General features: G+C 56.6%; 1 protein-coding gene across 3 annotated transcripts in view, besides 4 other annotated features; it reads right to left on the bottom strand.

Moving 5' to 3' along the window:
• LMX1B (LIM homeobox transcription factor 1 beta) overlaps nt 1-22,304 on the bottom strand; it is an 87,105-nt gene that overhangs the window by 59,439 nt on the left and 5,362 nt on the right. The gene's annotated exons all lie outside the window — the stretch shown is intronic.
• Nucleotides 4,395-4,895: an enhancer, noted in NCBI's record as "H3K4me1 hESC enhancer chr9:129398978-129399478 (GRCh37/hg19 assembly coordinates)". NCBI's record gives its function as "activates a minimal SCP1, AML or CMV promoter by ChIP-STARR-seq in naive H9 embryonic stem cells {active_cell/tissue: H9 hESC(naive)}" and the evidence as "EXISTENCE:reporter gene assay evidence [ECO:0000049][PMID:30033119]".
• Nucleotides 10,115-10,682: an enhancer, noted in NCBI's record as "H3K4me1 hESC enhancer chr9:129393191-129393758 (GRCh37/hg19 assembly coordinates)". NCBI's record gives its function as "activates a minimal SCP1, AML or CMV promoter by ChIP-STARR-seq in naive H9 embryonic stem cells {active_cell/tissue: H9 hESC(naive)}" and the evidence as "EXISTENCE:reporter gene assay evidence [ECO:0000049][PMID:30033119]".
• Nucleotides 10,683-11,250: an enhancer, noted in NCBI's record as "H3K4me1 hESC enhancer chr9:129392623-129393190 (GRCh37/hg19 assembly coordinates)". NCBI's record gives its function as "activates a minimal SCP1, AML or CMV promoter by ChIP-STARR-seq in naive H9 embryonic stem cells {active_cell/tissue: H9 hESC(naive)}" and the evidence as "EXISTENCE:reporter gene assay evidence [ECO:0000049][PMID:30033119]".
• Nucleotides 15,105-16,070: an enhancer, noted in NCBI's record as "H3K27ac-H3K4me1 hESC enhancer chr9:129387803-129388768 (GRCh37/hg19 assembly coordinates)". NCBI's record gives its function as "activates a minimal SCP1, AML or CMV promoter by ChIP-STARR-seq in naive H9 embryonic stem cells {active_cell/tissue: H9 hESC(naive)}" and the evidence as "EXISTENCE:reporter gene assay evidence [ECO:0000049][PMID:30033119]".

Genomic DNA, 22,304 nt, shown 5'->3' with positions numbered 1-22,304 from the left:
GACAGGGAGGAACCCAGCTGGGTGGGGGTGGTCGCCTAACCCAGCCCAGCCCAGCTCAGGCCCGAGAAGACCATACTATCAGGCACCATGGCTAAGTGCAGGGCCCATGAAGATATGCAGACATGGGTTCATGTCCTGTTCCTGCTATTAGCTATGACCTCAGGCAGGTGACATAAAACTCTCAGAGCCTCAGTCTGTGCCTCCATAAGATGAGGATACTGATGGTACCTATGCTTCCTGAGGATGCAGAGAGATGATGGTTGCAAGGCACTTAGTACAGTGCTCAGCACACAGAGAGTGTTCAGTCAACAGCAGCTTTAATTATGACTATCATCTCAGAGGCCTGGACTTCAGGCTCCCCTGTGCTCCAGGAAAGGGGACCTTCCAGACCAGAACTCGGGGCCTACAGGCCAGAGGAGCCTGCACAGACCTCCCCAGAAGGCCCAAGGCTGTTTCCCACAGCTCCTTCCACATGCCCCCGTGCCAGGTTGCCTACTCAGCTCTGTGCCTCGTGGAGAAACTCGGTGTACTCGTCTTGGACCGTTTCCCCTGGTCACTTCCAGGCAGGTCACTTGGAAGTGCTTCTGGAGTCTCTCTCAACTCCTTTTCCCCAGAGGCTGTTTTAGAAAGTCCAGAACAATTGCTGGTAGTCTGGCCCGAGCTGTCCTGCTATATGGCTCTCCGAGTGTCCCCTCTGACCCCACCCTGCTATCTGAGGGCAGAAGGCCACCCCTGGCTGGCCACCCAGCCTGCGGACTCACTGTCAGGAAAGCAGGAAGCTTAGCTTGGGGGAACTGCCCGAAGAGGTGGGAGCCTCCAGCTTGCTCTGGGACGCCAGCATCCTGTCTGCCCTCAGTCCAGCCTGAAAAAAGGACCAGCACAGCCTGGAACCGAGCTCTGGGACAGTGATCAGCCCTGGCCTATCCTGGCCATGCTCCCACACCTACCCTTCCCAAGGAGGCCAGGACAAGAAGGAGAGGTACAGGTGGGTACAGAGGCAGAGATACCCTTGGCCTGGGAACTTGGGAAGAGGACACATCTGGTGAACATGGTGAGACCCCACAAGGACTTGTCACATACATGACAGGCATGTCACAGAATCACCCCCACCCTCAAAGGCCCAGGACTGGTGCAGCCCCTGCCCTCAGATACAGGTCACAAAAACTGGTGCCAGTGGAAGGACTGGCCTTCTTGGCTCTGCAGCTGCCCAGACTGGGTAGGACAGTCACCTGAAGCCACTTGGAGGGGTCCCATACCAAGGCCTACAGGGTGCAGAGCTCAGGATACCTGAGGCACAGGGCTGCCCGCTGGTCCCTCTGACTGAACCTTGGTACCACCACCAGCACCCCCACACCTCAGCCCCAGCTCCCTAGGCCAGTCCTCAGAGGTCCCCGCTCTGGAAGCAGCAGGCATCTGGGACCCAGGGCCCAAAGGGCTCCCCCTTCAACGGACACATCTTTAAATATATACAACGGGGTGTTCTCTTTTTTTCCTCCTCCCTTCTTCTTTCTATACATTGGGCTCTAAAATCTGGGCCATCCCGCCACCCGCATTAACTGCGTTAAGGAGGAATTATAAAAAGAAATCAAATTTCCCATAGCATTTGAGCGCCATTAAAATGCCAAACAATAAACTACCAGGCTGCAAATTAGATCAGTGGAAATATCAAACACATTGAGGTATAAAATCCATAATTGCATTTAGTGGCAGCCGTCCCTGGAGAGGCCCTGCTAAAGATCATCACAGCCCCACATATGAGAAGCTATTGACAGAAGAATAAAAATCGACAGGCCAACCAAATAAACCGCATGGGCCTCATTAAATATTCAGCAATGGAAATTTGACTATCCTGGGCCTCTCCCCTTGGTCCCATCCTGAGCCCTCCTCTGCCCCCCTCCCCAGTCACTAACAGCTTGCACAGGCAGGGCCAGGGGAGACTGTCAGCTGAGGTTGGTGGGAAGGGGCCAGGCTGCGGCAATAACAGGGGGGCTCCGCTGGGATTATTATTGTTGGGCGTGTGTTATTAGCTTTCACCCCAGAGTAGGTGGCCCGAAGTCTTTAATTAGGTCATTACAGGATAATTTCCAGGGAGGTTTTAACTCCTTAGCAGCTGAAGAGCCTCCAGCCCGAGCCCAGTGGAGCTTAGGGTGAGACCCTCCAGGCGGGTAGAGGGGTGGGGCATGGGCCCGGCTTTGTTCGAGGCCCCTGGAGAATCAGATTCACCTGCTCCAGGCCAGACAGATGATGGAGGGGCAGGCTGGCTGGGAGCCCCATTACCGAGCCCTCGGGGACCGGCCCCAGGATGCAGAGGGACCCTCACCCGGCAAAGCGGGACCCCAGCGCCACTGGGCTCCAGCCCATCTGGGGGCCCCACCCTCTAGAGATAGCTTCTGGCTCTGCCCCTGCCTCACTGTCTCTCCCTCCCCTCCTCTCTTTCCTCTCCTTTTCTCTTGTCCAATTATTCCCTTCCTTCCCCTCCCCTCCCCTCTTCTCCTACCAGCCTCTTCTCTCCTCTCCAATTCTCCTTCCCAACTCTCCTTTCCCCTCCCCTTTCCTCCTCTCCTCCCCCTTCTCTCTCCTCTCCAATTCTCCTTCCCAATTATTCCCTCCCTCCTCACCTAGAGCCCGGCTATCCGCCCCTCCCTCAGTCCGCACCTAGGAGCTGCCATGTATAATGCATGCAGTGGAAGCGCCCAATAGGATTAGGCACCTCCGCCCGTCCTGGGGAGAGAAAGTTTATGTAAATGACTGATGACAGCGCTATTGTGTGAGGAATATCAATGGAGTAATTACAGTTACATCGGGCGCCCGCGCCGCCGGCCCGTGTTAATTTTTCACCGGCTCCCCCGGGAGAGATCGGAGCGCGCTCCGAAGAGCACAGCTAATAATGGGAGCTCCGAGCCGCCGCTGCGCCACGCGCCCCGAGGTCTTTCTGAGCAGACTGCTAAGCACTGGCTGTCTCCCCCGAGAGCCGAGAACAGAGATAAAATGATTAAAAACTGCCAAGCGGGCCTGGCAATCACTCGCTCCGCTGTCAGCCCCAGACAAGACAAATCTCTGCGATTTTGCTCTTCCCTCCTCTCCCTTTGTGAGCCCCCGAGCTGGGACGTGGGGGGCCGGGTGGGGTCGGGGTCAGCTCCCCAGGGTGGCAGGGCTGCGGGCAGGGCAGCCAGTGGCAGCAGGGAGGGCACTGGCCTCCTGGGCTGCAGGGTGGTGCAGAGGCTGCAGGGAGTCCTGGGGAGCCCTGGAGGCCCCGTCGTTCACCTTGCTCCTCCCAGGGAAACTCCATCCGGGCACACCTGTCAGGGCACACCTGTTGGGAGAGATGGGCAGGTGCACCTGGGAGGGCACAGCAGCAGGGCACCCCCACCGGAGCATTCCTGTCGGGACCCACCTGCCAGGGACACCAGCAGAGAGGGGCTCACCTGGGCCAGGAGCTCCTCAGGCTTCGGGAACCTGCCCCCTGCCCTGGAACTGCTGCCCCCTCTCCCCATGCTTCCCCAGGCAGCCTGGGCGCTTCCAGACCCTGAGATCCCAGCCTGGACAAGGCTGCCTGCCATGGGCCAAAGCAGGTCCCCGGGCAGGGCTGCGGAGCGGGAGGAGTGGGGATTGTGCGTCCTCTCGGGGTTTAGGGCCCATGGTCGGAGGGGGCCCTGGGTGTCCATCCCTTTGGCCCTGAGGCTACAGCAGGGCCAAGTTCCTGAGAAGACAGAGAGGAGGGGAGGGTACTGTACTGTTCCCAGTACAGAGAGCGGGGGGCGGGGGGGGGGGAGGACAGGCACCACAGTCCCTGAAGGCAGTCACCCATCATCACCCCGCCCTCCCCTGCACGTGATAGAGGTGAAAGGAAATTCCCGCCGAAACCTGGGCTGGCTCTCGGAGCCTTGGTCATGGACGTCACAGGCCAGGATTGGCCATCTGCTGCTCTGCCTGTCACACCCAGCCCACATCCATACATCACACCCGCAGGGCCCACAGTGACACAGGTGCACGCCCTTCCCATGCCCTGACACATTAGCCCACAATGGCCAACACCACACGGACACCCAGACTCACACAGCATCCTCAGGATGAACCTGTATGCCACACACCACAGAATCACCCACAACCCCCCACCCCCACACACAAATGCACACGCAAATGCCTGACTGCACCAGTGCACACAGATACAGGGCACCCTAAGCTGTGCTCACAAAGTGACAGGTGGGCACCCTCAGCCACAGGCACAGAGGGTGACGTGCAGGCTCAGGGACACACCCACAGCACACACAGGGACACACACACTGACACACACACACTGACACAGGCGCTGCTCCTGCCGTATGCTCTGGCATCTGAATTCAGAAGAATAAGCCAGAGTCCCCAAGGAGGAGCTGAGCCTGCCTCTCCAGATGCTGCCGGTTCCAGAGCACAGTGCCACCGCCCACCACTGCCTGTGATCAGCTCAGCTGCAGTGAGTAAGGCAGGTATGCTTGCAGCAGCGATAACTCCCTGACTGATAGCACTGGCACAAAAGCTAAGCAGAGCTTATGCTGGTGGCCTCTGGCTGGGTGCAAGGTGTCCTATGCCAGGCTGGGCCAGTCCAGACCAGGCCAACCGCTGCCTACCCTCTTGCCCAAGGCTTCCTGGGTCCCACCCAGGGAGTATGGCCAGAGAGATGCCACCTCACCACTTGTCATGTGCACATACATCTCTAGAGACACACTCGCACATACATGTGCCTGCATGCACGCACACACAGCCACGGACGCCTGGTGCCCACTGAGATCTGAACTGCACATATTCACTGAGTCTCTACCATGGGCCATTCCCTGTGCCGGATGCTGGGTGAGCCCTGACCTAGAGGACAAGGTGGGGCTCTCATTCAGCTCAAGTCCCTGACACCCCCTACACACACCTACGCACACGTGTACTTGCAGTCGTGTGCACTAGGGTGCACACACTTGAACACTACCTTGTAGCGCCCCTTTCCCCGTGTCCACAGCCTCCATCCACTCTCTTTTCTGGCCCCCCACCTCCCCTTGCAATCCACACAGCAGCCAGAGTGCATGTTGTAACCTCAAATCTGACATGACACCCCCCTGCTTAGAACCTTTTCATGGCTTCCAGGGGCCCTGGAGTAAAGGCCAGACTCTCTAGCACAGACTTCAAGACCTTTTGTGACCTGACCTCTCCAGGCCCTTGTGCATGCTGATCTTTGCCTGAAACCTGCTCTCCTGCCCTCTTTCCCTGGATAATTCCTCTGCTCTCAGCTTCAACAGCTCTCCCTCCAGGAAGCCCTCTTCCAGCCCCTAAGTCTGGGTGAGGAGCCCTATCCTCTGGGACCACAATGCCCTGTGTTCTCTCCATCAGGGCCTTTACAAGCTACTGCCACTGGGGAGGGCTGTGTCTGCCTTGTGTCTTTAGTACCCAGGACAAGGCACACAGCAGCCTCAGCAAATATCAGAAAGGAGGAAGGGAGGAAGCTGCTTGTGGTGTCCTAGCCTCAGTGAGAGTGGGGCCTGCAGTCTTGGGTCCAAAAGGCTCATAGAGGGGAGGGCTCCAGGGTAAAGGACACCCAGGGAACTCACTGGGCTGTCTTCTAGCAGGAAGTGGCTGCCACTCCCATCACTCGTCCCCAGTGCTCCTCCCTGGGCCATGGGAGTGGGACGCCTCTCCCTGCACACCCCTGAAGGCCTGGCAGCCCACAGGGCAGGTTCTGGCTCAGCCTGCAAGTGTTCAGTTAAGCCTCAGGCCCTCCCCTCCTTTCCTTTGAGAGGCCACAGCTCATGGCACCTAAGATGTGCAGTCCTTGGTGCTACTTAGTCAGGCCCTAATCCAAACAACTCACTCCTCAGCTGGGTGGCCTCGGAGCAGGAACTTAACCTCTCAGAGCCCCAGTTTCTTGAGCTGCAATTTTGTGAGACTTGGCTAATCATCATCTAGCAGCTATCATTTCCCCGTTTGCTGGAACCCCTGATTTGGGTTTTTAGAATAACAATTTTACAGGTGAAAAAAACAGGGTAAGTGGCAGAAAATGATGGAACCAAGGTTGAGACCGCCAGCCTCCTCCGAAACAGTTATTCCCCCGAATCTCAAAGGTCATGTGTGTGACTGTGCTGTGACATCAATCATCAGCGTGGCTGGGCTTGTCAGCCTCCATGCCTTTGCCCAGGCAGTGCCCTCAGCCTGGAGTGCCCTCGCCATAGCATCTCCTCCGACTGCAACTGGTTTTGCAGAAGCTTCTCGTGCCCGCCTCCTCTATGTAGCTGTTCTCAGTCTTCCAAGTCCTAGCCGTCTACCTCCCTTGCCTTTGTGTAAGCCCCGGGCCTGCTCCCTGTGTGGGCAATGAGCGAGTGGGGGCAAGTAGCTGACTAGAAGAGGAGTGGGAGGGCTGGGGGAAGGGTGAGCAGGAGCTGGAGTCAGACCTGGTGGTGAAGCTCCCCAGCCGTGTGGCCCTGGGTAAGTGGCCTCTGGGTTTTGGGTGTCAGTCCCCTCATCTGTGAAATGGGAATGACAGTAACACCTGTCTCCCAGGCCATCAGCAGGCTTCATATGGCGCTTGTGCCTGGCTGGCATGCAGCGGGTGCTAGGGCTTAGAAGCAAATCTGCAGAGCCACACTGGCACCGGCTTGAGGGTGAGAGGACAGCCAGGGGCAGAGAGGAGAGGGGAAGGAGCGGGGAGCCCTGTGCTTCTAACAGGCCACAGGCTTCCATGTCTCTGGGCTTTGGCCCACACTGTACCCCACACCTGCAAAGCCCTCCTCCTCCCCTTTCGTGACTCCAAATGTCACCTGCCTGGTAAAAGCTCTCCCACCTCTCCAGGCAGCACCCCTTCTTCCAGGTACACTCGCAGCGGGGCCCTCCCCTGGATTAATCGCTACAAAATTAATCCCTACAACAACCTGGACAGTAGGAATAGCTGTACCCATTTTATAGATGACTAACTTCAGGCTCAGAGAGGTCAAAGGACTCAAGACAGTGGCTCATGGATGTGGCATTGTGGGGGGGGTGTGCAGAACCTGGCACCAGAGGCTAATGCAGGAGGTGGGTAACTGAAAATCTCCATGGGGACAGTCCCTGAACACCTACTGTGCACCGGGTCTGCTCCTGGCATCTCCTTGGCTAGACTCACCCTGTTCAGCACCATGGTGGCAGCCGAGGGCAGGACCTGGAGCGTTTTCTTCCCCATGCCTCCCTGATACCCACACAGGGCGTGGAGGGAGGAAGTTCCACATGTATTTCTGGAATGCCTGTATGAAACTGACGCTGGCTTCAGAGACCTGCCCGGTGAGGCCTCTCCATGGCGACCCCGTCACTGCTGGGCAAGAAGGCTTTCCAGTCCCGGGCTTCACCACAGTGCCTTCCAGGTGCCCTCACATGCCCCATCCTGCCAAAGTCAGTGCTTCTCCTCTGGGTTTCCCTGCCCGCTCCTTATCCCAGGCAGGCCAGGCTGGGACTATCTTGCTCATTTGGAGTCCTGGCGTTATTCCAGTCCTGCCTGGAGCAGGGGTCCTTCCGGTTGGATGAGTGAGCTGGGCTTCCTTCTTCCCTCCCTCCTGCCTTCCCCAAACATTCGCTGAGTACATACTGTGCCAGGTGTATCCCCGAGGCATCAAAAGCGGGAGGCACAGGGGGAATGAGGCATCTCGGAGGCCAACTGGCAGAGGGGTCACACAAAGCTGTGTGAATTTGGACTGCCGACTACCCCTTTCTGTGCCTCAGTCTCCATATCGCTGAAATGGGGATAATAACAGGCTCTGCCTCACAGACTATGAGGCTTACGGTTGAATGAAATAATGTGATCCTTAAATCAGTGGCTGCACAGGGTAAAGGCTCTGGAAATAACAATCAAATTCTCTTCTTCCATCATGCTGTATAATTATGTGCGTGCTGTATAACCATGTCAGGAGTGGGTAGTCCTTTCGGAGGAGGGGACAGCTACAGGGAGGATGTGCTGGTGGACTCCGTGGCCTCTGCCCACTTCCCATCTCCCGGAGGGTACTAATTTTGCCCTTCCATCCCCCAGCCTGGCCCCCATGTCCCGAGGTTTCAGGAAGAAGAAGAACCCTGCCCCAGCCAGTCCCCAGGATTGGCCAGGTGTCCTCCCAGTTGTCCTGTGGAGACTTGCTGCAACCCACCCACCCATGCCAGGCAATGAGCTAGGCCCAGGGAGCTTCATCCATCCAGATGGACAGGTAAGCACCGTTCATTCATTCCTTCACAATGACATGACACACGGATGCACCTACCAAGTACCAGGCCCTGTGCCAGGCTTGGAGGTACCCTGGGCAGAGGTTGTCATACCTCAGCAGGCAAGGCTTCCCCCAGGGGCCATCTGGAAATGTAGACTCATGGGCTTCACCTCGAGAGTTCGAGTTCCCTCACAGATCTAGGATTCTGCACCTCTAGCAAGTGCTACAGGACAGATCCAAGCCTGGAGGACGGGGGTGGGGCTCAGAGCCAGAGAGACTCCATGAAACCGGTGACTCTTGTGCCAGGCCTTGGGAGTAGGGAGAGTTTTCCAGAAGAAGAAAGGATGATGGAGGCCAGGGGACGCCTCCTGGGCAACCACCACAGCCTGAGTAAGACCTTGATGTGGGCAAGTGTCTGGGACATGTGGGAATGGCAGGTGAGCTGGGGGCTCGCCTGCGGGGCTCAGCACAGAATGAAAAGGCAGGGGCAGAGCCACTTGTTCAAAAGTTAAGAATCTCAAGAGTGTGACAGCAGGAGCATTAAACCAAGCTAAGGGCCCTTCTGGGTGTGGGGCCCAGTGGGGCTGCACAGGTCAAGCCGGCTCTTCCAGGGACCCAGCTAAGTGGGTCACCCCTGCTGGGACCAGCCCAGAGTGCTCAGGACCTCAAGGCCTTAGCCAGGCAGCTGAGTACCTGGGGTTCCAGCCACCCCAGCTCCAAGCCCCAGGCCTCTGTGACCCTCCCTGTGCCCTGTTCCCTCTCTGGTTCCCGCAACTACCCTCACCTCCAAGGTGGCAATAGCCTCCTCCCGCCGGTCTAATCCCAGGCACATGTTGCCAGCATCAGCTCCATAAAGTGCCTCTCCAGTTCCTGTCACTCCCCTGTCCAATAACCTTCAATAGCTCCCTCCTGCCCACAGGATAAAATCCAAACGCCCGAGCACAGCCACAGGCTCCTGCCCTGCTCTGCAGCCTCCAGTCCCAGCAGCCCCTCGGCAGCCCCTCCGCCAGACTCACTGTCCCAGCCCACCCATTTAACCCCCAATATTCCTGCTGCCAGGGCCCCCTCCTGGAATGCCCTCCCCAAATCCTCCCAAGCTGCAGCCTCCCATCTCACGGGCACCTGCCTGGCGTAAGCTGGCACACACTCTTGCTGCCTTCTTGTGTGACTAACGAGGCCCCTGCCCACAACTCTTCCCTCTAAGAAAAACGGCTCCCATGGACTGGTATGGCTCTTTGAACACAGCATCTCATCTCGCTCTCCCCACAACCTGGAAGGTAGGTTCTTTACGTGCATTTTGCTTGCGAGAGAGTGGAGGCTCTGAGAAGCTAAGGAATTTGTCAAAGGTCACACAGCTAGAAAGAGGCCAAGCCCAGAGTCCAGCCCAGCTCTAGACCCTTATACTTTCTTTCAGTACGAACTGCGCACCTACCGTTCCCTTTTCTAGCTAAGACCCAATACATATGGTCAAAGGTGGCCCCCTTTGAGGCCCAGCACAAAGGACTGTGGGAGCATCAGTAACAAAATCGGCAGGAACCACTCACCTAAAGAGGAATGGCATCTGCTCCCTCTGAATCATCCTTACCCGGAGGCAGGGGTCTGGTCCTTAGTAAACTTTGAAGAAACTGAGGCACAGGGAATTTAAAGCCTCTAACCTAAGGTCACACAGCGGGAAGTGGTAAAACCTGAGGTTCCAAAGCACTGGTGAAAAATCTGGTTAAGTTCTCGGCCTCTCAAGGAATCAGTTCTGGGGTCACAAAATCCAAGAGCCAATAACTGCAGGCACAGGGACTGTGCTGGCCTCATTTCTGCTCAGCTCTGCCCTCGCCCCTATCCCCACCTCACCCCACCCACCCACTTAGCCTGGGAGCTCTCTGTGGGCAGGATAGGCCTGCCCCATCCCGGCCGGCCGAGCTGAGCCAGGAAGCTGAGCAACTCAAAAGGCCCCCAGCTGGACTCCTGGGAATCAGCAGCCCAGACCTAATAGGCATTAGGTCTCTTACCTAATACCTCTTCTTCCTGACCTCCTGCCACGAGCACTCCCCAAGCAGAACACAGGGTTGAGTCCCTGATGCTCCCTGTGCCCCAAGGCAAGATGTTTCCTTTTACAAATCATTATTATTACTATCATTACTGTTATTTTAATTTAAATCTTTTGACGTTCAGGCAGATGTTTCTCTGCAGCCGTAAGGGCATGTCTGTGGGAGGATGGCACCTCGGGGACTGGCCTGAACTCTTGCCACGTGGGACAGCCCAACCAGTGGGCGGCCAGCTCCATCCTCCTCCAGGGGTCTGTCGCTGCTCACTTATCAGGCTGACATCCCACAGGGGGGCCACTGCCCTGCCCGCCCCTTTGGCTCCAGGCCTGCCGACTAGAACCAGAGCTGGAGGGGTGGGCAGGCGGGGGCACGTGGGAGGGGGCCGAGCCCTCACCACAGGCCCCTTTGCAGTTCAAAGTGACACACTCAGACAGCCGTCCCTTCAAAGGCCAGACAACGCCTGCCCTGAATTGCTGCACCGGCAGCCCGGAGCCAGGAAGGCACTGCAGGGGTAAAGGTGGCCCTGTGAGGGCTGGCCACGCTCCCATCCATGGCATGGACTTCCACTATCCTGGGCAGGAGGGCAGACCCTGGCCGGCCCCACCCTGTGGTGTAATCCTTGGAAAATCACCTTCCCTCTCTGAATCTCGCTGCTTTCACTATATATTTGCAAAGTACTCAGAAGGCACTCAGGGGTGGTCATGCATAAAGCTGACAACACTGAGGACGAAGATGATGATTCAGAGCCTCTCTCTGAGAGGCACCGCCCCAAAGACAGGCCACCTGAGTGTGATTCCCATCAGCTGCTAACTAGCTGTGTGACCTAGGGCAAGACACTTAGGTTCTCTGTGCTTTAATTTCCTCCCCTGTAAAATGGGGTTTGGAAGGGATGACGCCATGCCTGTTTGGCACCAGACAGGTCACAGATAACAACCCTCCCCCCCAGTGATGAAATGTGCCCTGCCTACTGCCAGGAGAGTTGTTCAGGCCAAGTCAGACCCACTGAGAAGGCTCAGTGCAGGTGCTCCCCCAAGCCTGGGTTCCCGGGAGCTGAGAAGTGGTTCCAAGGGCAGGTTGTGGCACCCGCAGATGCTGACTCTGTGCTGCATAGCCCCCCACTGGCTGTGTGGCCCTAGGTGTGTGGCTTCACCCCTCTGAGCCCCAATTCTGTCACCTGGAAACCCAGGCAAACAATAGTGCTTTTTTTTTTTTTTTTTTTGAGACGGAGTCTTGCTCTGTCGCCCAGGCTGGAGTGCAGTGGCGCAATCTCGGCTCACTGCAAGCTCCGTCTCCCGGGTTCACGCCATTCTCCTGCCTCAGCCTCCCGAGTAGCTGGGAGCTACTCCCGAGTAGGTCACAGGTGCCTGCCATGACGCCCAGCTAATTTTTTTGTATTTTTAGTGGAGACGGGGTTTCACCGTGTTAACCAGGATGGTCTCGATCTCCTGACCTCATGATCCACCCGCCTTGGTCTCCCAAAGTGCTGGGATTACAGGCATGAGCCACCACACCCGGCCAACCACAGTGCTTTTAGGAAGTCTCATCAAGATCTAGGGTGCCATCTGAAGCTGGCAATCATCAGCTTGCCACCTTGGGGAAATCACTGCACCCAAGTCAAGCTTTGATGTTGGCAAAATGGGAAATAATATTAATAAAACCTGCCCCCAGAGCAGTAAGAAGATTCAGTGAGTGAATCCCCATCAAAGCTTTACCACAAGCAGCATAAAATGAACACTGGCCATTCATTAGGAGCCATTTCTTCAACAAACAACATTGGGTTGCAGTACCAGCCCACCATCGGGGCACCAACCCCAGCCAGAGGCCAGACTCCACCCTCCCAAAAGGCTGCTGAAAGTTTTCTCGTGACACAATGCCTGGGTTCCATTTACTAGCTGTGTGACCTTGGGCAAGTTACTTAACTTCTCTGTGCCTCGGTTGTCTTACCTGAAAATGCAAATAATAATGGAAGCCATGTCGTAGTGTCATTAAAGAATGGAAAGTGCTGAGAGCAGTGCCTGATGGACCACAAGTGCTAAACAAGCATCAGCTGGCGTTATTATTGCTGCTGCTGTCGTGCATGCTCCAGGTCTGCCCGGCCCGTCAGAAAGCCCCAAGCAGCTGGGCTTCCTTCTGCGGCTCACAAACTTGGGAAGTGTTAGGTCCTGAGAGGTGCCCCAAGTACCGTGCAGAATGGAGGCTTCTGTGGGCTTCCTCTCTGGTCTGTTTCCCTAGCAGCTGGAACGCTTAGAAAAAAAGCACCCAGCCTGCTGGGCTTGTCAAAGCAGGACTGGCTTTACTAGAACCAGGTTTGGATGGTAATTTTGTGGTCATAACTATTTTCCTTACATACTGCTATAGAAAGGGGAACCCCTGCTTTTTTTTTTTTTAATCTAATTGAAGACACCATCAAGCGTAAATATGCTGGAGTTTTTAATAAAAACACGATGGAGAAAAATATTCAAAGCTCAATAATCAGAAGCAATTTGCGTCGCAAGCAGAGATGTGTCATTCCTCCCACACCCCCCTCCCCGCTTGGCTGTGCTCTGTGCGGGACTAGCTTTGGGGATGGCAACTTTAGACCTATGGCAAAAATAATGAACAGCAGTGAGGCTTAGAGATAGCCTGAAAAATCTCCTGGAAAAGAAAAACATATGCCAAAGAGTGTGGTATAAAAGTCATATTTCATGCCTGACTTTAGAGAATGTTAATAAGGATTAGAACCATACTCCAACAGAACAACTATCAGTCAAGGCGGGGTAATTAATTTCGCTTCAGATCTCTGGGAAAATGAAAGCGGTTAAGTGTTGTTTCGCAGCGTAGAGATTCCATCGCTCTAAGACAACCCAAAGAACTTCCAAAGCCATGTCCTGAACCCAGCTGAGACCTGGCTGTTGCTGGCGGCCTCTCCTGATCTGTCGCCTTGTAGATTTGGGGACCTTTTCCGAATCATAACAATATCAAACTCTTTTTTCCCCCAGGATTGGCTAATAAATATGATTAAGATAACACGACCCAAACCACATGTCCTCTGCTCGGCCTGCAACATGTGGAGGACAGATGTGTCTTCTGTGCACAGATGACCCAGCCGGCTGCTCCCCTGAGGCAGGGACCCTGGGAGATGGAGTCTTGAGAGGTCCTAGCAGCCCACTGGCCCTCTGAGTCCCCAGCCAGGCCTCTGGCCTCCCCATGACCCACTATAGACAGGAAGGGCCAAGCCCAGGGTATGCGGGAGTCAGAGACAAGAAAGATGGTGGGATGTGGCACTGTCCTCACCTGGCTTTTGTCCCCCAAGGTCCCAGTTTAGTAGACCGCATTCCCAAGCCACGTGGCCCCGTGTTATCCAGAAAACTCTCAAAATCATTTCATTGTCCAGGTCCACCTGTCACCCCTTCTTAAAGAGCTGGGATTGAAGAACCTTCCCATCCCTGAGACCTGGGCCCAGGGAAGACAGAGTAGGCCAGTGTTAAAGCCAGAGTCTGGGAGAGGGTTCTCAAAAGGACTGTGGAGTTGCCACACAGCCCCCAAGCCTGGTAGCGTGCAGCTTGGGATTTCCGCCTCTGCTCTGCTACAACAGGACAAGTCCTAGCTGCACTTGGACCTTGGTTTTCCCATTTCTACTGGGATCCTGAAGAGCCCTTTAGCTGGGATATCCTAAAGCAGCCCAAGGTCCCTGTGAGTGTGGCCCTGCTGCACTCAACTGTGGTCACTGGAGGCCACGCAGAAGGCCAGGCCCTGGAAATCAGGCCAGGGAGGCCTGGGACTGCTGAGGTTGACAGCCCTGCTCCAGCTCTGGGGAAAGAAGGGGAGCAGGCTCAGAGGCCAGGGCTGGTGGGGGAAGAGCCCCTCCCACCCTGACCAAGCAGGGCTCCCAGCACCAAGGCAAGGCTCTGGGCCAAGGCATGAGTGAGCCTCCTTCTCTGCTTTCCCTTGGGGACAGGAGGGAGAAAATGGAAGAGTCCCTCAAAGTTAGCTCAAGCCAAGCAGAAGGGCTCCAGCTGGCAGGAAGAAGCAGGGCATTCTATCACTGCATAGAATCAATGAAGTCAGAAGCAAGCAGGCTGAGGGCAGGGCAGGGCACCTCTCTGAGTAAAAAAGGGAAGAAGGGTCCCTGGGGGAGGGGCACTATATCGTGGATGAGCCTCAGCTGCCTGCAGGGCAGGGACAGGGTAACCCGGCCACGGGGAGGAGACCGGGGGGTCTCTCTTCCTGCTGGTCCCTACTCAGAGGCCACTCTGGTGACCAGGCACATCAGGCTCCTCCTGAGCCCAGTGAGGTCAGGACAGCCTGGCCAAGGAACCCTCTGACACCAGTCTCCGAGGCCTCCTTTCCACTGGAGCCGACTGGGCGTGGGCTGTTGCGTCCAGACCCTTATCAATGCTCAGGCGGGGGCCTCCCCCAAGACCAAGGCCTCTTCCCTGCAGAGGAGCCCGGACGGACCGGCGGACGCTGCGGGCCCGGCCGGGCTGATAGGAACCATCTGCGTTGTCTTAGGCCGCCCTTCGGCCCACTGTCCCTCTGAACTCGGCCGGTTCCCGCGGGCCGTTTGATGCTTGCAGGGTCACAGACCCCCGCACACAAATCACCGCCGCGGGGCTGGGGGTGGGGCGGAGGCGCTGAAACCTAATCCGCAGAGTTTGCTCCGCCGCCGCCTCCTTGCTCCTTCCCTCGCTCGCTCGACGCCCCCCACCCACCCCTTTCCAAACAAGGCTTATTTTTCTTGCCAAAAAAACAAAGTTGGTATCAAGTGTTTCGAGGGAGAAAGTCTCTCCCCCACCCCTGACCTGGAAGGAAGGGCCGGTTGCCGACTGAGCCGGGATTGCAGAGGGGGCTCCAGGAGAGGACGGGCGGGAGGTGAGCTCAGGGCTTCTGGCTCCATCGGTCCCCTTCCCCGCTCTCGCCTGCCCGTCCCATACTTAATGGCAGCGAATCCCATGGTCCCCGGCCATGTCCTGTCCCTCTACTCGTCCTGCCCGGAAAGGGTTTCCTCCATCGGAGCTCCCGGTCCCTATGCTGTCAGAGATGGAAGCATCACTTCCTGCTCCTTCTCCCTCCCCATAAAACAGTCCTTGCCTGTCGCTTTTACGAGGTGACACCCTGCTCTCAGCCCGATCCTCCCTGCGCCCGGAGCCTGGGCTCGGCGCGCAGGAGACTGCGTGCACTCTGGCGTCCCCGACCTCTGCCAGGGCGCACGGGGACTCCAGAGCGGATCCTCTACGAGTTCTAATAGGAGGCCAGGGAGCCGGGACATCAGAGACAAATTCCTCCGAAGTCCCCCTCCGGTTCCACTGACTGGAGCCTTTGGGCTGAAACCCCACGAGCTCCCCACCCCCATGTCCATGAGGGGAGCAAAACGGAGCCCCCGGGGGCACGCAGGCTTCGTTTCTGGGTGTTGGTTTTGCTTTTGGTTTTTTCAGCCGGTGCAGTGACCCGGAACAGCGCGGCCGCTTCTCCGACGCCCGCGGCTCCCCACTGCGCCGAGGCGAGCGCCACGGCTAAAGCCCAAGCCTCGGCGCCCGCTGCGCCTGCCGGAGTTCTGCTTGTCCGAGCAGGCAGCGGGGCTCAGGCACGGCGGCGACGTCGAAGGGCCAGTCGGCAGACAGGGCTGGGTCTCTGCGGCCAGAGCGCCGCAGGAAAGCCCTGCAAACGGTGGGACGAGGGTGGCGGCGGCGGCGGCGGAGGTGGCGAGAAAGGCGCCACGGGCCTGGCGGAGAAGAGGGTTTCCGTGGGGGTGGAACAAAGGAATTCACCCTCGGAAGAAAGGGGCCGAGCATGCAGCCGGGAATGGCCAACCCTGGAGACCTGCAGGAGTGCGAGCGCTGCGACATTAGTCCCAGGGATCCAACGAAATCTGCCCCGCCGAGGGCCCCAGCCTGGCATCTCCATTCGGCCTCTCTCTTCTGGTCAATCCCGCTTTAATGGGGGTGGTGGGTGTGCACCCGGAGTGCCACCTTTCCTGGGAAGAGGGGACAGAGCAGGACCCGTGCTCTCGGTCAGAGGAGGCAAACACATCCCACTAACCCTCCCCCCATTCATCCTCTAGTCGTGGGGTCACTGTCCCCATTTTCCAGACGCTGCCAATTAAGGCACCCGCAAAACCACCCCTTCCCCCGCCCCCACGGCAACGCTCCGGCTCCTGAGGCCCAAGCGCGCTCGGAAACGAAAAGCGTCAGGGGGCTACAGGGCCGGAGCCCCCTCTTCCCGCCGTCCTCGGAAGGGGTGGAGGGGACACGGTTGTAAGGTGCTCGGCTTCTTTTCTGTGCTTGACATGAATAAGGGGATTAGGATGGCAAGTTTCCGTCGTTCACTCCGTGGGACAAAGGGCCCCGCGGTTTGAGCGGCACAGCCTCTGATTAAACGACAGAGCCCTGTCACTCAGCACCATCCTAGGTACTTGTGTTCGTGACATAATCTTATTAGAAGATAAAACCGGCGAAATCCTTTTCATAATGAAAAGTTACATTTAATGGCCGGACTCTCCCCCCACCTCCCTCCCCGGAGCCTGCTCGCCTTTCCCCGTTGCTGTTGGATATGGCTCGCCTATAATTGGCATTTAAAGCACCAAGTCCGGGAGAAAAACGGGGTTTAGGGTTTTTGTAATCCCCCTAAACTGTCTTTGTTCGAAATCTCCACAGATACAAGTCTGTTAAGAGTAAATATTTGTGGATTGATACAACCACATTTCCCCCCTGCAAACCAAATCCAAAAAAAAAAAAACAAGATAAAAAAAAACCTGCCACTCGCCGCCCTCGGGCTGGGGCGCAGGAGGGAGGGGGCTGGGGTCGGCCCTAGCATCCGCGCCGGGAACTCGGCTTTCGGGCCGCCTGGTTGCCTCCAGGAGCTGAGGGACTTCGCACGTTTCTCAGGCGGGAAAAGGGTCTTAGATTCTCCCCCGCAACCCCTAATTTTCTGTTCTCTCAATAAACAAACCTCCCGAACTTGCTGCTTTTGGCCAGCCCGAGGGGGTCGGCAGGAGGGCTTGGGGAGGGGCGAGGGCTGTGCTCAACAAGGAATGAAAATGCCAGCTCTCCCCGCCAGTCTTACTCCCTCCAGCGGGAGCCTGCAGTGGCTCCAAGGAGAATCACTGGCTCTTTCTGGACCGCGTAAGGCCCCACCTGGCGGGGCACCCCGACCCCAGCCCAAGAGAGCCCCCGAGCCACCAAGGGTCCCCGAAACGCTGAGAAGCCCGAAAGCTGCTGCAGGGCCCTGGACTCCGGGCTTCAGCCTAGCGCGTCCCAGGATCGAATTCCTCCATAAATCAGCTGCTGGGTGAAAGGGCTGCGCTTTAGAAAGGGCAGGACCGTGTGCGCGTATTAGAGCGCGCGGTTCCCAAATCCGGGCTAAACCCCTGGTGACACCGAAATTCATCAACCGCCGCTGGTGCCCGCGGCTCGGCTGCGGAGCCCAGGAGCCTATGCATGGTGTCATCCCACTCCCAGTAAAGAACATGCTGCACGAACCGCCGAGAGGTGGGCCTGGAGGGGTGCGCGGGTGGAGGCCGCTGAAAGCCGCCCCATCCGCGTGTCCGGACGTCGAAGGAAGCTCTCCCGCCCAGGGGAAGGCAATTATTCTAACCTTTTTCTTCCGCTGGCCAGGGCTGGCCCTACAGGGGGCAATCCGCGCAGAGGAGGTCAGTGACACCCTGCTCCCAGCCCTCGGGTAGCGACTCCCCCTCCCCACCCCTCCCAGGCTGGGCGTTCTGGGGGAGATTAGCAACAATGTAGAGCCCGCACCTTCCGGAAGGTCGGTATAGGAGGACTTAGAGAACCCATCCGGCTTTGGGAGTTGGACCCGCCTGGGGGGGAAATCTGCTACAGGGTAACTCTGGGCCGGGAAAAATCTGCTACAGAGTTAACTCTGGGCCTGGGGAAGTTGTTCAAGCTGCTCAGCCTCAGTTTCCTCCCCTAACCACAGGGTTGGGACGGTACAGACAGTGAACTTCACAGGGGCTCAACAAACGCCAATGCCTTGCCCTTCTAGAGGCACTACTGCAGGCTGCCTCCCTGTTCAGTAAGGCGCTGCTCCTGCAAGTTCACATCTACACTGACCATGCTCAGGAGTCTCTTGGAAAAAATGGGACCTACGTGTCTCAGTAGTAATGAGGGCCCATCCACAGGCTGGCCTTGGCTCCGAGGAGCAGCCTCTGGCATCCAGACCGGCCCCATGCCCTTTTCAAGGGAAAAAAAATAAAAATAAAAACACAGGCTCCCAACCTGGGTGAGGAACAGAAGGGTGGGCAAGACCCCTCTGGGAGGCCTGTTCAGGAGGCTGCACTTTCTGGGCCTCCCACGCAGGACAGACAATGCATTCCTGCCAGACGGGGCTGCCTTCGGCTCATTTCCCAGCAGGAAGGAAGAAAACATACATTGACTGCATGCCCAACACTGGCTGGCATCTGGGTTTGTTCCACTTTATTCTCAGAGCAACCCTGTAAGATTGGAATTACTACCCCCTTTTCACAGAGAAGGGAACTGAGGCTCAGGAAGAGCTGTCAGTCCTTCCCTAAAGGCCCTTGGCCTTTGTCACTGGGAGATGGAGACATTCTGGATCCCCATTCTGTAACTGCCAACAAGCTTGCTCTTCCTTTGAGAAAATGTGCCCCACCCAGGACCCCTCCATTTGGAGGAGGTCACCCCAGAGCACCTTGATCCTCTGGAACCCCAAAGGCCTGGGCAGCTCAGTCCTGGTCTGGCGCCCACACCCAACAGCCCAGTAACTATAGCAATCCAGGAATCACACGACAAGAGTCACAGAGTCCCCTTGGAAGGCAGGAGGCGGGAGAAGGGGGAACAGCAGTCACACCCAACTTGTCCCATCCCAACCCAGTGCTGCTCCTCCCCTCCCGTCACCGCTGCTGAAGTTCCTGGGGAGGCGCTTGGGGGAGGGACCCCTGGCGGCCCTGTGTCTCAGCATGCTCAGCTCATCTTCAGCTACCCAGCAGCTCGGTGGCCTCCTCATTCCTGCCAGCCCCAGTGGGCATCGCTGTTGCTCTGGGTGGCCGTCACAACCTTCCCCAGCTAGCCACCTCCCCACAGTTCCCGGGGAAGCCTCTCTCACAGCACTGGCCCGGCCAGGAAGCAAACATCTTTGTTTCTTCTGGAACCAGGCTCCAGGAACCGGGTTTTTCCTTCAGCAACACTTCCCCCCAGTTCACCAAGTGCCAAGGCCAGCCAGGTGCTCTGCCATCAGCCAGGACATTCGTCCAGGGCTGGTCCGAGCCAAGCTCCCAATTGAGACAAAGCCTCCCCACAAATGTACCCACACATCCCCAGATCCCCAGCCCCTCATCCTCCCTTTGGGGCCCCAAGGTCAGCAGGGCAGGTCCAGCGGCTGCCAGTCAAAATGCTGAGCAGAAATGGATACAATATTATCCAGGGAATAACAAAGGAAGGGCCCACGCAGAAATTTATTTGTACTGATCAGGCAAAGCAAAGGTAAAGGGCAGAGAGGAAGTGCTGTCAGCCGGCCTGAAACCCAAGAAAGTTGCCATTCCGAGCACAGTGGCCCCTTATGCCCCACCACTCCTCACCGCAGCAGTAGTTAAAGCAAACACAAGCCCTTCACTGCCCCGTCAGTTACACCTTCCCCCCAAAATTACACAAACTTTGAAACATTTTTCTGAGAGAAGATGGATGCTTCAGGAGACTTGAGGTCAAGGCTAGGCTGTTTAAAGTCTATTATCAACAAATAAACATTTACTGCAAAAAAAAAAAAAAAAAAAAAAAAAAGAAGAGAGAGAGAGAGAAAAACCCTATAGGCCACCGGGGAACCAAATCATGTTGCTTTTGGCATCAAATGACAGGAGACATTTATGACATGAATGGAGAACACCAGCCGGTCGATGAAATGGCAAACGTCTGCCACTTTGCTTCCTCTACCTTCGTGAATCAACTTTTTCAAATATGGTTTTCAGCCTTAGCCCTCTCTCACTACCACCGTCTCTCCACTTCTGACTGCAGTGGTAATAAATATATATAATTTTGGTTTTGCTCTTTGCTGCCATCAGCACAGAATCTGGTTGGAGAGGGCCAGAGGAACTTCCGGCTGGGTCAGCCAGACAGCCAAGGGCCCTGGGTCCTCGGGCACCCCCAACTGACTGACAGCTCACACGCGGCTCCTTGGATGAGTAGACTATCCCTCCCTTCCTCCCTCCCCTGGCTGAGGCTTGACTGTGGTGTCCAACAAATTGGAAGTTATAACTCATGTCGGTGAGAGTATCCTCCATCCTTCAGCCTAACTGATGCCAAAGTAGGACTGGTTTTTTTCCTCTTCCTTTTCTTTATTTTTTAGAAACTCCAGAGCCTCAGGACAAAGGCGGCTCCTTGGAGAAGCATCGCCAGCCACCCATGGGTGGAAACCTCACAAGGCCACAGAGCCCGAGCTGGAGGGGCCTTCTGAGTTCCTGGAATGGTGTTTCTCCACCTTTTAAACCTCATCTTCCTTCTGAGAAATAGACAAATCCCCCAGACCTCTCCTCCACCTACCCCCTTCTCCATTGGCTGAGCTTTATTTTCTGTGGCTTCAATCACAAAACAGTAAGTACAAACAGTTCTTCAAATATGAATTATTAAGCTTTTCCAAGCTATATGGAGGCCCTGGAGATGCCAATTGTTTCCCGGTGGAAATACTGTTGCTCTGGACCACCCTCTGTTTGCCACCAAAGGAAAAAGAGCCAGCACACCCGGCCACCCTCCGTCTGCCCCCAAGGAGAAAGAGCACAGGACACCCGGCCACCCTCCGTCTGCCCCCAGGGAGAAAGAGCACAGCACACCCGTCTGCCCCCAAAGGAGAAAGAGCCCAGCACAGCTGGCCACCCTGTTGTGGCCCTTTCTGATAATGCAGTTGGCACCTGTGCGCACCCACACAATCAGGTTTTCCACCTCTCTTGAGGTGCAGGAGAGGATAATGGATCCCCCGGAGAATGGAATATTTATTAAAGTTCCACCAGGTGCCTGTGTAATCCTCACAACCACCCTGCAAAGTCACATCATCACCCCCAGTTTGTTGATGAGGCCCCAGCTCAGAGATGGGCAACCACTTAGCGAAGATCACACAGCTGCTAAGACTTGGGGCTGGGAGGTGAACTCAGGTCTGACTCCGAGTCTAAAGCTCTTTTCATGGCTGAGGAAGGCAAGACTTTTACAGTGTCCTACGAAGGGAAAGGCAATGGCTTCCCCAGGGTGCTCCTCATCCTCCCTGCATGGAGAGGCTCATGGTAAACCCTGTGTACCATGGAACCTGGGTAGAGAACCTGTTGGCAGTGTGGTGTGTGTCCTTGGAGACAAGGTATTCCCTGCCATGCTCATGGTGAGAAGAGTAACAGCAATAACTTCCAGAGTATTAATAACAAGCCAGGCAAGATGCCAGGTCCTTTGGGGCACCTTATCTCAAGTCCTTATAAGAATACTTGCCCCCAGCAGAATAAGTCCCCATTTCACAGAGGAGGATCAGGTAGGTGCCACGGCCGTGGGTCTCTAAGCCTGGCTCCAATGGACAGGGCAGGAAAGAGCTGACAGTCACCAATCACATACCCCAGAGGAGATCCTCCCAGCCTGCTTCCCCCACTCAAGAAAAATAGGGCAAACAAATAAGGCCACACCAGCCCAGCGCCCGGGGAGTCGAGGGTGAGCCAGGAGTCACTGTGAATAATGCCTCCGTTCAGCAGCAGGGGACTGCAGCCTCAGGAAGGCCTGTGCTTACCGTCTTGCACACAGCCAAGGTGCCGGGGTTAAATGGAGAGGTACCCTCCAAAGGGCCAGAGGGTCCCCAGACTTGGGCTGCCAGGGTGAGCCCTTTGGGCCTCAGCCCCCAGAGACAGCACCATAGAAGCCTTTTTGTAAGGCAAAGTCCTGGCTCCTCCTCCCAAGCAGTTTCCAGGACAGGCGCTCTGCAGCCCTGAATGAGTTTGATGGTTGGGGCAGGGGGGCTCGCTGGTTGGGGTACACACTGGGGAAGGGGTGCTGCTTGAGACTGGCACCCTGCAGGAGGGCCTATGGGAGGCCTTCCAGGCTGGCAGAAGAAGTAGCCAGAGAAGGCCGGAGCCTGACTGCTCTCCCCCTGGGCCACACCCGAACGCGGGAGCTGGATGGGGAGT

Source organism: Homo sapiens, chromosome 9 (genome assembly GCF_000001405.40).
Source record: "Homo sapiens chromosome 9, GRCh38.p14 Primary Assembly".
Classification (NCBI taxonomy): domain Eukaryota; kingdom Metazoa; phylum Chordata; class Mammalia; order Primates; family Hominidae; genus Homo; species Homo sapiens.
The sequence above is the reverse complement of the archived record's forward strand: the minus strand, read 5'-3'. Positions and strand labels throughout refer to the sequence as shown.